Genomic DNA, 12,043 nt, shown 5'->3' with positions numbered 1-12,043 from the left:
GCGAGGTTGGCGGGAGGGCGCGAGCTCCAGTGCGCGGGCGCAGGGCTGCCGTCGACTTTGCGCAGGCGCAGAGCTGCCCGCCTTCGGGCCCTGCGCGGGGAGGCTGGTCCCAACCTTGCGTGGGCTTCGCGTGGGCCCGGCCTCGCCGCTGCGGTCGCCCGCCTGGCATGGCCAACTGGGTGTTCTGTAATCGCTGCTTCCAGCCGCCCCACAGGACGTCGTGCTTCAGCCTCACCAACTGCGGGCACGTGTACTGCGACGCCTGCCTCGGCAAAGGTCAGGGCTTCCCGAACGCAGGCTGGAGAGGGGAGGGGAGCGGCAAGGGGGTCAGGGAACTCCGGGGGATGGGGGACTTGGGTGGGAGGGCCATGGGGGCACGTGGGGGGCTGCGGAGGAGAGAGGGCGCGTGGAGAAGGGGGAGGGGGCAGGGGGAGGGGGATGCCAGGGGAGAGGCCGCGAGGAGCAGGGGAACTCTGAGGGGAGGGGGACCTGGGGTGGAGGGGCCGCGGGGGCGCGTGGGGGGCCGAGGGGGAGAAACGGCGCATGGAGCGGGGGGGGCATGGGGGGGTGAGAGGCCGCGGAGGTAGGGGTATTCGGAGGAGGGGCCACCGGGGAGTGGGGGCCGCGGGCGTGATGAGGGGCCCGTGGGGAGAGGGGGACACTGGAGAAGCGGTGGGGAGGGAGCGGGGGAGTGAGGGGCTGCGGGAGGGTGGGGAAAGAGGGGACGCCGGAGGTGGTGGGGGGCTGCAGGGAGGAAGGGGACGCCAGAGGAGGGGGGCAAGGTGGGGGATGTGGGGGGTCAAGGCTTGGGGGGGAAGGGGGATACCGAGGAGATGGGGGGAGGGGAGACGCCAGGGGAGGAGGGCGTGGGGGAGGGTCCGCAGGCAGGAAGGGGCCGTGGAGGGGAGGGGCCGCCGGGGGGAGCGGGATGCAAGATGAGGGGGACACAGGGGTCGGGCCACGAGTCCTGTCAGTCGGGGGCTCTGGCTTGCAGGCTGCGGGTCCGCCTGGAGGACCTGGGGGAGAAGCGGGCAGGCGGCAACCTTAACGCCAGTGGAGGACTCTGGCCCTATTCCATGGGCAGCGCGGGGCCCTGGTGTCAAGTGGACAGTCGCATTGTCAGGGAGGCGTTTTTCTTTCTGTGAAAATTTTGTGTTGAACTGATGTTTATGCAAGAACAAAAGCAAAAACACAGTGAGCTTTTACCAAGCGAACTTCCCCGTGAAAGCAGCCAGCTGGGTGCCGGTGGCTCACAGCCCTCCAGCCCCAGGGGACGCCAGCTGTGCTGACCTCCATCCTCGGAGTTGGCCTTAGACCCATGGAGCCTTAGTGAATGCAGCCCTACAACCAGCCCTACAGCAAAGCCGCTTTCTGTGGCTCCCCATCTTTCTTCCTTTTTCTCCCTTCCTTCTCTTTGCCTCTTTCAAGGCAGAGCTCAGCTTTGTCGCCCAGGCTGGAGTTCGGTGGCGGGATCTCGGTTTACTGCAGCCTCCGCCTCCCAGGCTCAAGTGATTCTCCTACCTCAGCCTCCAGGGTAGCGGGGCTACAGGCATGTGCAGCCACGCACCCCTGATTTTTTTAATTTTTCACAGAGATGGGGTCCCTTTGTTGCCCAGGATGGTCTCCAATTCCTGTCCTCTAACAATCACCGGCCTTGGCCTCCCGAAATGTGGGATTAGCAAAGTTTATCATTGTATTTGTATGTAACTGTAGTTCATCTACTTTCATTGTTGTGTGGTGTTCCATTGTATGGATACACCCCAAGTTACTCATCGTTTCCACTGTCCATGGCCCTTTGGGTTGTTTGCAGATTTGGCTGCAGAAATAATGCTACTGTGAATCTTCTTGCTCCTGTCTTCGGTGATCTTAGGTACACATTTCTGTTGGGTGTGTAACCTGGGAGTGGAGTTGTTGATTTCAGGTGTGTATTTAAAAACAAAAGTGTCTCGGGCAGCGAGGTGAAAAGTAGATTGGAGGGAGATAGAAACTGTGGGAGAGACTGCAGCTGAGCACATGAGAGGTGATGGGGAGAAGTGATAGGTTCAGGAGAAGTTAGGTAGATTCAGCAGACATGAGTCGGAGACAAGGGCTAGAGAACTGGACAGGGTTTCACTGCTAGACAAAACACTGGAGAGGAGCCCAGCGGGAGGGAACCCAGCAGGGTGGGGCACAGCAGGGTGGGGTGCAGGGCCCCTGAGCTCATGTCTGGACACGGCCTGTATCCTGTGAGAGCCATCCAGGGGAAGACAAGAGGCAGTTGCACATGTGGGTCTGGAACTCAAGACAGCCAGGAACACATTTGGGGAGCGATTAATACGGGATAATAATCCTATAATCCTAGATATTGGAGTGTGGAGAGCCCCAAAGGTGAAGGAAACTAGAAGAGACTATCTTGTTGGAAAGAGCATTTGTTGAAGGAGGTAAAGAAGATGTCAGGTAAAAAAGAGATGTTGATGAACTGGACATCCCAGTGAAGTCAAGGAATTGGTGTTTGAAAGTGTCCATTGGACCAGTGAGGAGGGCACTGGTGACCCAAGATAATGTTCCCCGAAGATAACATTGTTAGGAATGATGGAGACGCGTGTGCCTTCGTGGTGCTGGGAAGTGTGAAGACAGGGCTCAGAGCGTCATAGCTTTTGAGGTCAGCATACTCTGCGTTGGCAGGTGACTGGTTAAGGGCCTGGGGCAGGTATAGATTCACAGGTTTGCCTAGCTCTTAAAGCCTGAGGTCAACACAGATTCCAGTAGTCTGAGTGCATTCCTCCAAAAAGCCACAGATGCTGCATGTCGGGACCACACCAAATCCAAAGACACACAAAAAAGTGGTGAAAAGGGGTGGAGGCTCTGGGCAGAGCCTTGACTGTAGCTCTGTAGCTGTCCAGTGGTGTGTCACTCAGAGGGAAGCCCTTGTTTAGCTCTGGTGTATATCCTTCCAAGCATTTCCTATAGATGCAGATTTTTAAAACAAAAGCAATAGTGTGTCTACCATTCAGTAATCTGCTTTTATTACTTACTCAAACATAGACCTCCTTCCGTGTTAAAATAAGTCTGTATCATCATTCTTAAGGTTGCATGATACATCTTTTGGCTATCATACCATAACATAGTTTCTGCCGTTTTGCTATGAGACACCACTTGTTCTCTTACTTGATTTTTTTCCTTGGAATATATTCTTCGGGGTGGAGTGGCTAGGCTGCGGATGTGCACATGAAAACTGACCCAAATGCGACCCAAACAGGCACAAAGGAAGTGCCTGTTTCTATTCCCTGTAGTGACACGTGAGCACCTGTTGTTTTCTCCTCTTTGGTGTCTCTTACTAGTGACCTTGACCTTCATTTTGTGTGTTTATTGGCTGTTTGCATTTTTTCCTATGCCTATTCAGGTCTCCTCATAGCCTTTTATTGAGGTGTTTCTTTCTAATTGACTAGTGAGCACTATTTATAGATCAGGCATCAATCCCTTTGTCTTTTGGCCGCACGTGATTTCCTCTCTGTCATGTCTGTTAATCCTCCTCCCTTGTAAGAACTTTTCGATTTTTATGAGTCGGCTCTGTTAATCTTTTACTGCATGACTCCTAGCTGTGATGGTGCATAAGAGGAATTTTCTTGCTGCAGAATTTGCACTTAAAGAGCTAGAAGGGAGGGGACCTACTGTCAAGGGTAGATGTTTTTAGCATGAGGGCAACTTGAAGAAGAGAGGAAAGGAGACAATTCTGGAGGCTGTTAGAAGGGGACCCCCTCACCCCACAGTAGGACACCATTCTGTGTGCTGGGAGCTGCGGACACTGAGGCGAGTATGGATACACAAGTGAAAGCCTGGGCTTGGGCTGGAAGAGATGCTGCCTCCAAGGCAGAAAGGAAGGAGGTAGCGTGAAGTGGGTTGTTCTGTGGTGGGTCAGTCTAGAGGAGAGGGCAGAGAAATTGAGGTAGGTCATGAGCCAGGGCTGCTTCTGAGTAGATGATATGAGGGCCCTGGTTTGAGCAGCCCCATGGGGAATGGGGCAGAAAATACCCAGGAAAAGCAGGATTGCCCAGCAGTGTTGCTGACTCAGCAGCGTTGGAATCCTCAAGTCTGTGAATCCACCTCTCACTTAAGGGATGTTTTTTTCCTAGTTCTTAGCTGCACTGGCCCAGAGGAGGGGACAAAGCCACCGGGCTTGTTCAGGTTTGGACCTGATGTCCTCCCTGGAATGACAGGAGTGTGAAGGCTCATAGTGCCTGGTCAGCCCTGGGCTCCAAGTTGACTAGTGAGAAAATCAAGCTTGAGGTTCATTTTGAATAGTTAAAAATTTTAGATTAAGATATCACTATAAAGCCTAATCATAGGCTGGGCATGGTGGCTCATGCCTATAATCCCAGCACTTTGAGAGACCGATGTGGGCTGATCACCTGAGGTCAGGAGTTCAAGACCAGCCTGGCCAACATGGCAAAACCCTGTCTCTACTAAAAATACAAAAATTAGCCTGGTGTGGTGGCAGGCACCTGTACGCCCAGTCACTTGGGAGCCTGAGGCATGAGAATCACTTGAACCCAGGAGGTGGAGGTTGCAGTGAGCCAAGATCGCGTCATTACACTCCCGCCTGGGTGACAGAGTGAAACTCTGTCTCAAAAAAAAAAAAAAAGGCTAATTATGGCCAGGCACAGTGGCTCACGCCTACAATCCCAGCACTTTGGGAGGCTGAGGTGGGAGGATTGTTTGAGCCCAGGAGTTCGAGCCCAGTGTGGGCAACATAGTGAGACCCTGTCTCTACAAAAAAATTTAAAAATTATCTGGCTGTGGCGGCACACGTCTGTGGTCCTAGCTACTCAGGGAGGCTGAGAGGGGAAGACTGTTGAGCCCGGGGGTGTCAAGGCTGCAGTGAGCTGTGATCATGCCACTTGCAGATCAGCCTGGGCAACAGAACAAGACCTTGTCTCAAAAAAAATTTTTAATTTTAATTTTAAAAAAGCCTAATTGTAATAAATACCTGGGATAGACTTAGCCTTAAGTGTTGTTGATCTTTATGGTCACTGTTTTTGTACATATTTGCAAAAGAGGGGAAAAGAATGTTAGTTCTATAAATCCTTCCAACTGTACCAGTACCCACAGCCTCATCCTGTCAGAACATGAAAACCTGTAAGTGATACAATCCTGCCTATTTCTTGGAGAAACATTGTAAAGTCTGCATGTATACATATTTAAAAGTAGTAGTCAGTCTAATATAATAAAGCCTATTTTTATTTTATAGGTAAAAAGAATGAATGCTTGATTTGTAAAGCTCCTTGTCGTACAGTTTTGCTTTCAAAGCATGTAAGTTGAAATGTGTCGTATCTGCATCTTAATCACAGTCATATTTCCTTTTAAATTTGATATTTAATTTTTAGTCATTTGTGGTGTCTAAAATTTTCAGTCACTTTGCTCCGTTAACAAAGATATCTGAGTAATCAAAATGCAGTTAGGATTTAGTTTTTAAAACTTAATTTTTAAAACTTTCTTAGCTATAGATTGACCTTATTCCTAGGTTGTTGAATCGTGCTGTGTTCCTGGAAATGAAAGTGGGTTAAATAGATTTCTGCAGCACAATACAGGCACCTTAAGAGGGTGATAGAGTTTGGATTTGTATAGGGGTCATATATAATTAAGAGTGTTGTTCATAAAGTAAGTTTAAAATCAATTACTGCTGCAGGCTTAAAACAATGCCTTTTGTTCTCTCTATAAAATATTCAGTTTAACTTGTTATTGGTATAAACAAATGATTGGTCTTTTCTCTGCCTGATCTCCAAAATGTGCATTTGGTCTGATGATTTAAATATAATAGTTGTTTTTTTGTGATTACAAACATAATACAAAGTTACACAACATTCGTATAGTACAGAAAATTATAATGGCAAATGTGTAAGTCCTGCCGGGCGTGATGGCTCATGCCTGTAATCCCAGCACTTTGGGAGGCCAAGATGGGCGGATCACGAGATCAGGAGATCAAGACCATCCTGGCCAACTCAGTGAAACCCCATCTCTACTAAAAATACAAAAAAATTAGTTGGGCGTGGTGGTGGGCGCCTGTAGTCCCAGCTACTTGGGAGGCTGAGGCAGGAGAATGCGTGAACCCGGGAGGCGGAGCCTGCAGTGAGATGGCGCCACTGCACTCCAGCCTGGGTGACTGAGCGAGACTCTGTCTCAAAAAAAAAAAAAAAGTGTAAGTCCCCAGATCCTGTTTCCCAGAGATGACAGTGACCAGGAGTTTGGTACCTATTCTATGTGTGTTATTGTGATTTACCTTTTCATAAAAATGGTGTCTTCTCGGCCAGGCGCAGTGGCTCACACCTGTAATCCCAGCACTTTGGGAGGCTGAGGCAGGCGGATCATGAGGTCAGGAGATCGAGACCATCCTGGCTAACATGGTAAAACCCCGTCTCTACTAAAAATACAAAAAATTAGCTGGGCATGGTGGCACACGCCTGTAGTCCCAGCTACTTGGGAGGCTGAGGCAGGAAAATCACTTGAACCCAGGAGACAGAGGCTGTGGTGAGCTGAGATCACACCACTGCACTCCAGCCTGGGCGACAGAGCAAGACTCAGTCTAAAAAAAAAAAAAATGGTATCTTCTCAGTTGACATTATATTTTGGGCACACTCACTCTTAAAAGGACTGCATTATATTTTAGTATTTTCCTATCAGTGAGCCTTTGGATTTTTTCGGTTTTTCGCTGTTTCAAACAACCTTCCAGTGAACATTTTTAACCAATATCTCTCCACACTTATAAGAATATTTCTGTGGCATAAATTCCTGAAGTAATGAAAAAGCAAGGGCAAAAGATATAAATGTTTGCACTTTTAACAGAAAATACTTTCTTTTCCTCCACACATGTGGCAGCTTAGAGGCTCAGTGCCTGCCTGCTTCTGCTCCTCGCACGGTACCCTCGCACTAAGCCCTGTACACGGTCGGGCTGGAGGCTGGTGAGCCCTTAACCTTTCTCTAGCTTGAGTGGAATGTTCAGGTCATTTACTTACTTTCTTGTTTCCTAGTAAGTATATTTAAGACCATCCGTGTCTTTCTGTGCACTGCTATTCTGTATCATTTTGAGTACCGCTTTTCTCTGATTTCTAAATAATCTCTAATATGTCTTTATTTTTTTAACTCAGGAATTATTTGAAAGGATATGCTTTAGTTTCTAAGTGGTTAGCTTTTAGCTCCCTGTCATTTTCATCGTTAATTTTTAGTCCTATGGCATTCTGATGAGAGAATATGGCTATGTGGGTTTTTTAATTATCAGGATTTTCACTGTGGTTTAATACACAGTAATTGTTCATATTTGATTGGTGTTTAAAAAGGCGTGTGTTCTTTTCTCTGTGTCTGAGTGACTGTGTGTGTGTGTGTGTGTGTGTGTGTGTGTGTGTGTGTGTAAGTAAAATTGTTTAACATGTAGAAGTTGTTCCTGCTTCTCTTTCTCTAAACCATCACAGACCGTGTGGGCTCTTTCTTCCGCAGTGTCTTCCGAATGCTGGTCTTCCCTTCCCTGTTGCTTCACCCCCCTATAGGAGCTGCTGCTTCCTCCTCCTCTCACTCTGGCTTCCTAGAGCCTCTTCACCCTGCAGCCAGAGGGATCTGCTTAAATGCATCCCAACTTTCCAGGAGTAAGCGCCAAAGTCCCCCATGCATGTAGGCCCTGTGGCCTGGCCTCTGGCCGCCTCGTGGTCCCCAGGCAGCCAGCTTGGCCTGCAGCCCCTGCAGGAGCCAGGGTCTTCGTCCGCCTCAGTGCCTGGCTTTCTTGTCCCCTCTGACTGGAATGTCCTCCCAGATGGCCACAGGCTCCATCCCCCACAGCCTTAAGTCTCTATGGAATGTGAGGAGACATCACCAACAGCTCTGGCTCATGCTGGCTTCTTTGACCCTGACCTGCGGTGGAAGGACGCTTTATATTATGCCAGCATGTGCACTTGCACGTGGGTGCATCCGTGTGTGAGCACTTCGGTGAAATCAGTTTCACAGAGCAGTTCTTATCCTCGCTTAGTGCAGTACCCTCTGATGGTTTCCAGTCTCATGTTGTTTTTTCTTTAAAACAAAACACATTGTAAGTGGACTTCCCCAGACCTGATTGTGACAGACACTACCATGTAAAAGTGACCCTCTGACGCTGTGTTCCTTGACCTGGATTATTCTGCTTCGCAGTGTGTGTCACCACCTGAGATATCTTTATATATTGATTTGTTTGTCATTATAATGCTCCATTACGATTGAACGCACAGAATAGGGCACCACCGTATTGGTTGGGTGGTGGATGGCCAGGGAGCAGAGCAGACTGAAGCCAGTGCCTGGGGATGTGGTGGGTGGCTGGGCCGCCAGGAAGGGAGACTCCGGTGAGCGCGGAGCAGAGCAGCAGCTGTGCTCCCCCTGCATCTGCCTCCTTGAGGAGGGAGAGTGTAAGCTAGACCGGGCCGGTTTTTACACACACACGTGGAAAGGAGTAGCCACAGTAAGGAGGTGAAGGACGAGGATGCCCCACAGTCATGGACACGCCAGTTGCTTTTGAGTTCCAAGTGGTAAGAGATAAGTCTTGAGGGTGAAGGCCCTGAAAGCTGAGGCAGCACTTCTGCCTCGCTTCACTTGATGGGAACCCCAGCAGGCAGAACCAGGGCCTGGAGACAGCAGACAAGAGAGCTCCTCCAGAAGGCAGAGCTGCAGTCCAGCCCAGGCTCTCCCTGGGGGAGGAGCCCCCAGCACCCATCCTCAAATGCCTCATGACGTGCACCTGTGTTCTTCCTCCTCCCTTGGTGTGGTGGGGAGTGTTTCTTAGCTGTCCTGCCCCGTGCCGCCATTAGATGTCAGGTCATGGCGAGGATGCAGACACGTTCATTGTCTTTCTAGCTCATAGATTGCAGGCCAAATCGGGACCCGAGGGAAGGGGCCACATGCTGCCCCAGCATCTGAGCTGGGCCAGTGACAGTGGTGGTGGGGGCGCTCCACTCTGGGGGAGTGACTTTCTGTCTAAGGGAGGAGTGACCTGGATACCAGTGACCAGAATGGCAGACCAGGCCAGGCTGGGCAGTCATCACCACGCCTGCTCCCTTTCTTCCTGGGCACCTGGCTGTACTCATTCTCCCCACCTACCTTCCCATGCTGAAATGCAAGCAGGAGCAATGAAGACCACTTCCAGGCCTGGCCCATAAAAACAGCCTCCTGGACAGCCCTCCACTGCCCTTCTGTCACCACAGAAGCCCTGGAGAACAGGGCAGAGCTGCTGGGGGCGGGGTGACCTGAGCCCAGGGCCTGTATGGAAGGCCACCCACTGAGCCTGGTCTTGAACTATTGTATGGGCAAGAAACAAGTGTCCCCACAATAAGCCATTGAGATTTGGGGGTTGTCTGATACACCAGTTGGCCTACATTCATCTTCGCATGTCCGCATAAATTTTGGAGGCATGTCGTCAATTTCCACAGACACAGAATCCTGTTGGGATTGTTATTGTGGACTTACTGTTCTTTAGGGAGGCTTTGTGCAACAGTGTTAGTATCTCTGTTAGGTATTCAATGATTTGGACTGCTACTATTGTAGTTTTAAACAATTTTTCTCAAGTGCTTATTGCTAGTATATAAAAATGCAATGGATTTTCTTAACTGTCTCTAGTGACCTTGCAGAATTTACTTGATAACTCTGTTGGTTTATGTGTAGATTCTGCTAGAACATTTACATACGCCAACATGTTATCTTTGAATAAGGACGCTTTAGATCTCTCTTTCTATTCCTTATGCGCTTCCTTTTTTTTACAGCATTGGCTGGGACCTCCAGTACAGTGCTGAGGAGAAACGGTGGCATTAGCTGGCGCCCTCGTCATTTTCCTAATTTCAGGGTCAAGCTTCCAGTATTTCATCAAGTATTATATGTGCATCAAGTTTTTGCTAAGGTTTCTTTTTTAATCATCATGAATGGTATTGAATTTTGTTAATTTTTCTGTGATTATTGACTATAAATATTTTATTAGCTTATTCTATAGCTGTCGAGATTATCATTTAATTATTCTCATTTATTTTGTTAATGTGGTGAGTTGCATTTATTTTTAGAATTTGAAACCCACGTTAGATTCTAGGAACAAATTCAACTTTGTAGTGATACAAGGTAGCTTGTATATGTAAGTAAATTCAGTTTGCTACTATTTTGCATGGGGTTTTTTGCACCTATGTTCATATGAGAGCTGGACCTGTAAGTTTTTTTTCTTGTAATGCTCTTTCCACATTTTGGTAAATCAGGTCTGTTCTGGTTTCATAAAACAAGTTGTAAATTATTTTTATTTTTCTCTTCTCTGGAAAATTTTTTGTAAGATGGGGGTTATTTCTTTAAATGTTTGGTAGCATTCAGGAGTGACACTATTTAGGCCCAGTAAGTTTTTTGTGCAAAGATTTTAAACTAGGGATTTGATATCTTTATTAGACATCGAACTGTTTAAAGTTCCTAATTCTCCTTGAGTCAATTTAAGTAAATTGTGTTTTTCTAGGAATTAGTGCATTTCGTTGGAATTTTCAAATTTCTTGTCATCAATATGCTTGTTATCCACTCATATTTTTCATGTCTGTAAGTTCCATAATGATGCCTCTTGTTTAACAGTGGGTATTATGAATTCTCTTTTCTCTTGACCAGTGTGCCAAATGTTAGTGATTTTTTTTTTTTTTGTATTTTTTTAGTAGAGACGGGGGTTTCACCCTGTTAGCCAGGATGGTCTCGATCTCCTGACCTCGTGATCCACCCGCCTCGGCCTCCCAAAGTGCTGGGATTACAGGTGTGAGCCACCGTGCCCGGCCTTTTTTTTGAGACGGAGTCTCGCTCTGTTGCCTAGGCTGGAGTGCAGTGGCGCAGTCTTGGCTCACTGCAAGCTCCACCTCCCGGGTTCACGCCATTCCCCTGCCTCAGCCTCCCGAGTAGCTGGGACTGCAGGGGCCCACCACCACGCCCGGCTAATTTTTTGTATTTTTAGTAGAGACGGGGTTTCACCATGTTAGCCAGGATGGTCTCGATCTCCTGACCTCGTGATCTGCCTGCCTCAGCCTCCCAAAGTGTTTTTTTTTTGTTTTTTTGTGTTTTTTTTTTGTATTTTTGTATTTTTGGTAGAGACAGTGTTTCACCCTGTTAGCCAGGATGAATGTTAGTGATTTTTATTAGTACTGTGGACTCTTGAACAACACAGGTTTTAACTGTGTGTGTCCATGTATACATAGAGATTTTTCCAGTCAGATGCAGATCAAAAATACAGTATTCATGAGATACAAAACCTGCTCAGATGGAGGGCTGACGTTTCCTGTATGCAGGTTCTACAAGGCCAACTGTGGAACTTTAGTATGCCTGGATTTCAGCACACTTGGGGTCCTGGAACCAATTTACCCTCATATACTGAAGGATGACTGTATTTTCAAAAACTAATTTTTAGCTCTGTTGATCGTGTCCATTTTATATTTGTTTCCTATTTTGTTAATTCTCTTTATCATTTCCTTTTTGTCTGGATTTAGTTTGTTCTTTAAGATGGGTGCTTAGGATTAATTTTCAACCTTTCCTCTGTAATATTACACTATAGGGTCATAACTTCCCTTCTGTGTTCATTTTTGCCTGCAGTATATGTATTTGATGATACTATATTTTTATCTTTGAATTTTGATATTTTTACTCAGTTTCTCCTGTGACCCATGTGTTACCTAGAAGTATATTCATTTTTAAGTATTTGCAAGTTTTTAGTTACAGTTTCTGTGAGCTAACACATGGCCAAGTACACACATTATGAGTGTATACCTCAGTCAATTTTTCAGAATCATAATGTGTAACCAACATTTAGGTCAAGGAAAGTAGTTTACCCCCTGCTGCAAGCTTTCTTAGGTGTATGTACAGATATTTTTGCGCTGAGAAGGAAGAGCCCTTCACAAGGTGAAACATAATGGGGCCATATGTGTATTTTTGTTTCCCTATGGCAGGAGCTGGAGGAGGGATGACACTCAGTAGAGGTTTCTCAGGTGAAAGGAGCAATAGATGACGATGTAGCAGATGATGTCACGAGTGGTGTGGAATTTTAATTTTTCTATAACTA

General features: G+C 47.5%; 1 protein-coding gene across 28 annotated transcripts in view; it reads left to right on the top strand.

Annotated features, from left to right (window-relative positions):
* RNF212 (ring finger protein 212) overlaps positions 1–12,043 on the top strand; it is a 57,460-nt gene that overhangs the window by 79 nt on the left and 45,338 nt on the right. For 19 of the 28 annotated variants that reach the window (XR_007096392.1, XR_924937.2, NR_159497.1 and 16 more), the window contains exons 1-2: positions 68–276; positions 5,228–5,289. Coding sequence is in view for 13 of the 28 variants with exons in the window: in XM_011513446.2 (XP_011511748.1) it covers positions 168–276; positions 5,228–5,289 (171 nt within the window). In the remaining 15 variants the exon portion in view is untranslated. Of the gene's footprint in view, positions 1–67; positions 277–1,812; positions 1,922–5,227; positions 5,290–6,287; positions 6,381–12,043 lie in introns of those variants that run through there. The other 9 variants (NR_159499.1, NR_159504.1, NR_159503.1 and 6 more) reach the window with 4 other exon arrangements.

The sequence above is a fragment of the Homo sapiens genome, chromosome 4 (genome assembly GCF_000001405.40).
Source record: "Homo sapiens chromosome 4, GRCh38.p14 Primary Assembly".
Lineage (NCBI taxonomy): Eukaryota > Metazoa > Chordata > Mammalia > Primates > Hominidae > Homo > Homo sapiens.
The sequence above is the reverse complement of the archived record's forward strand: the minus strand, read 5'-3'. Positions and strand labels throughout refer to the sequence as shown.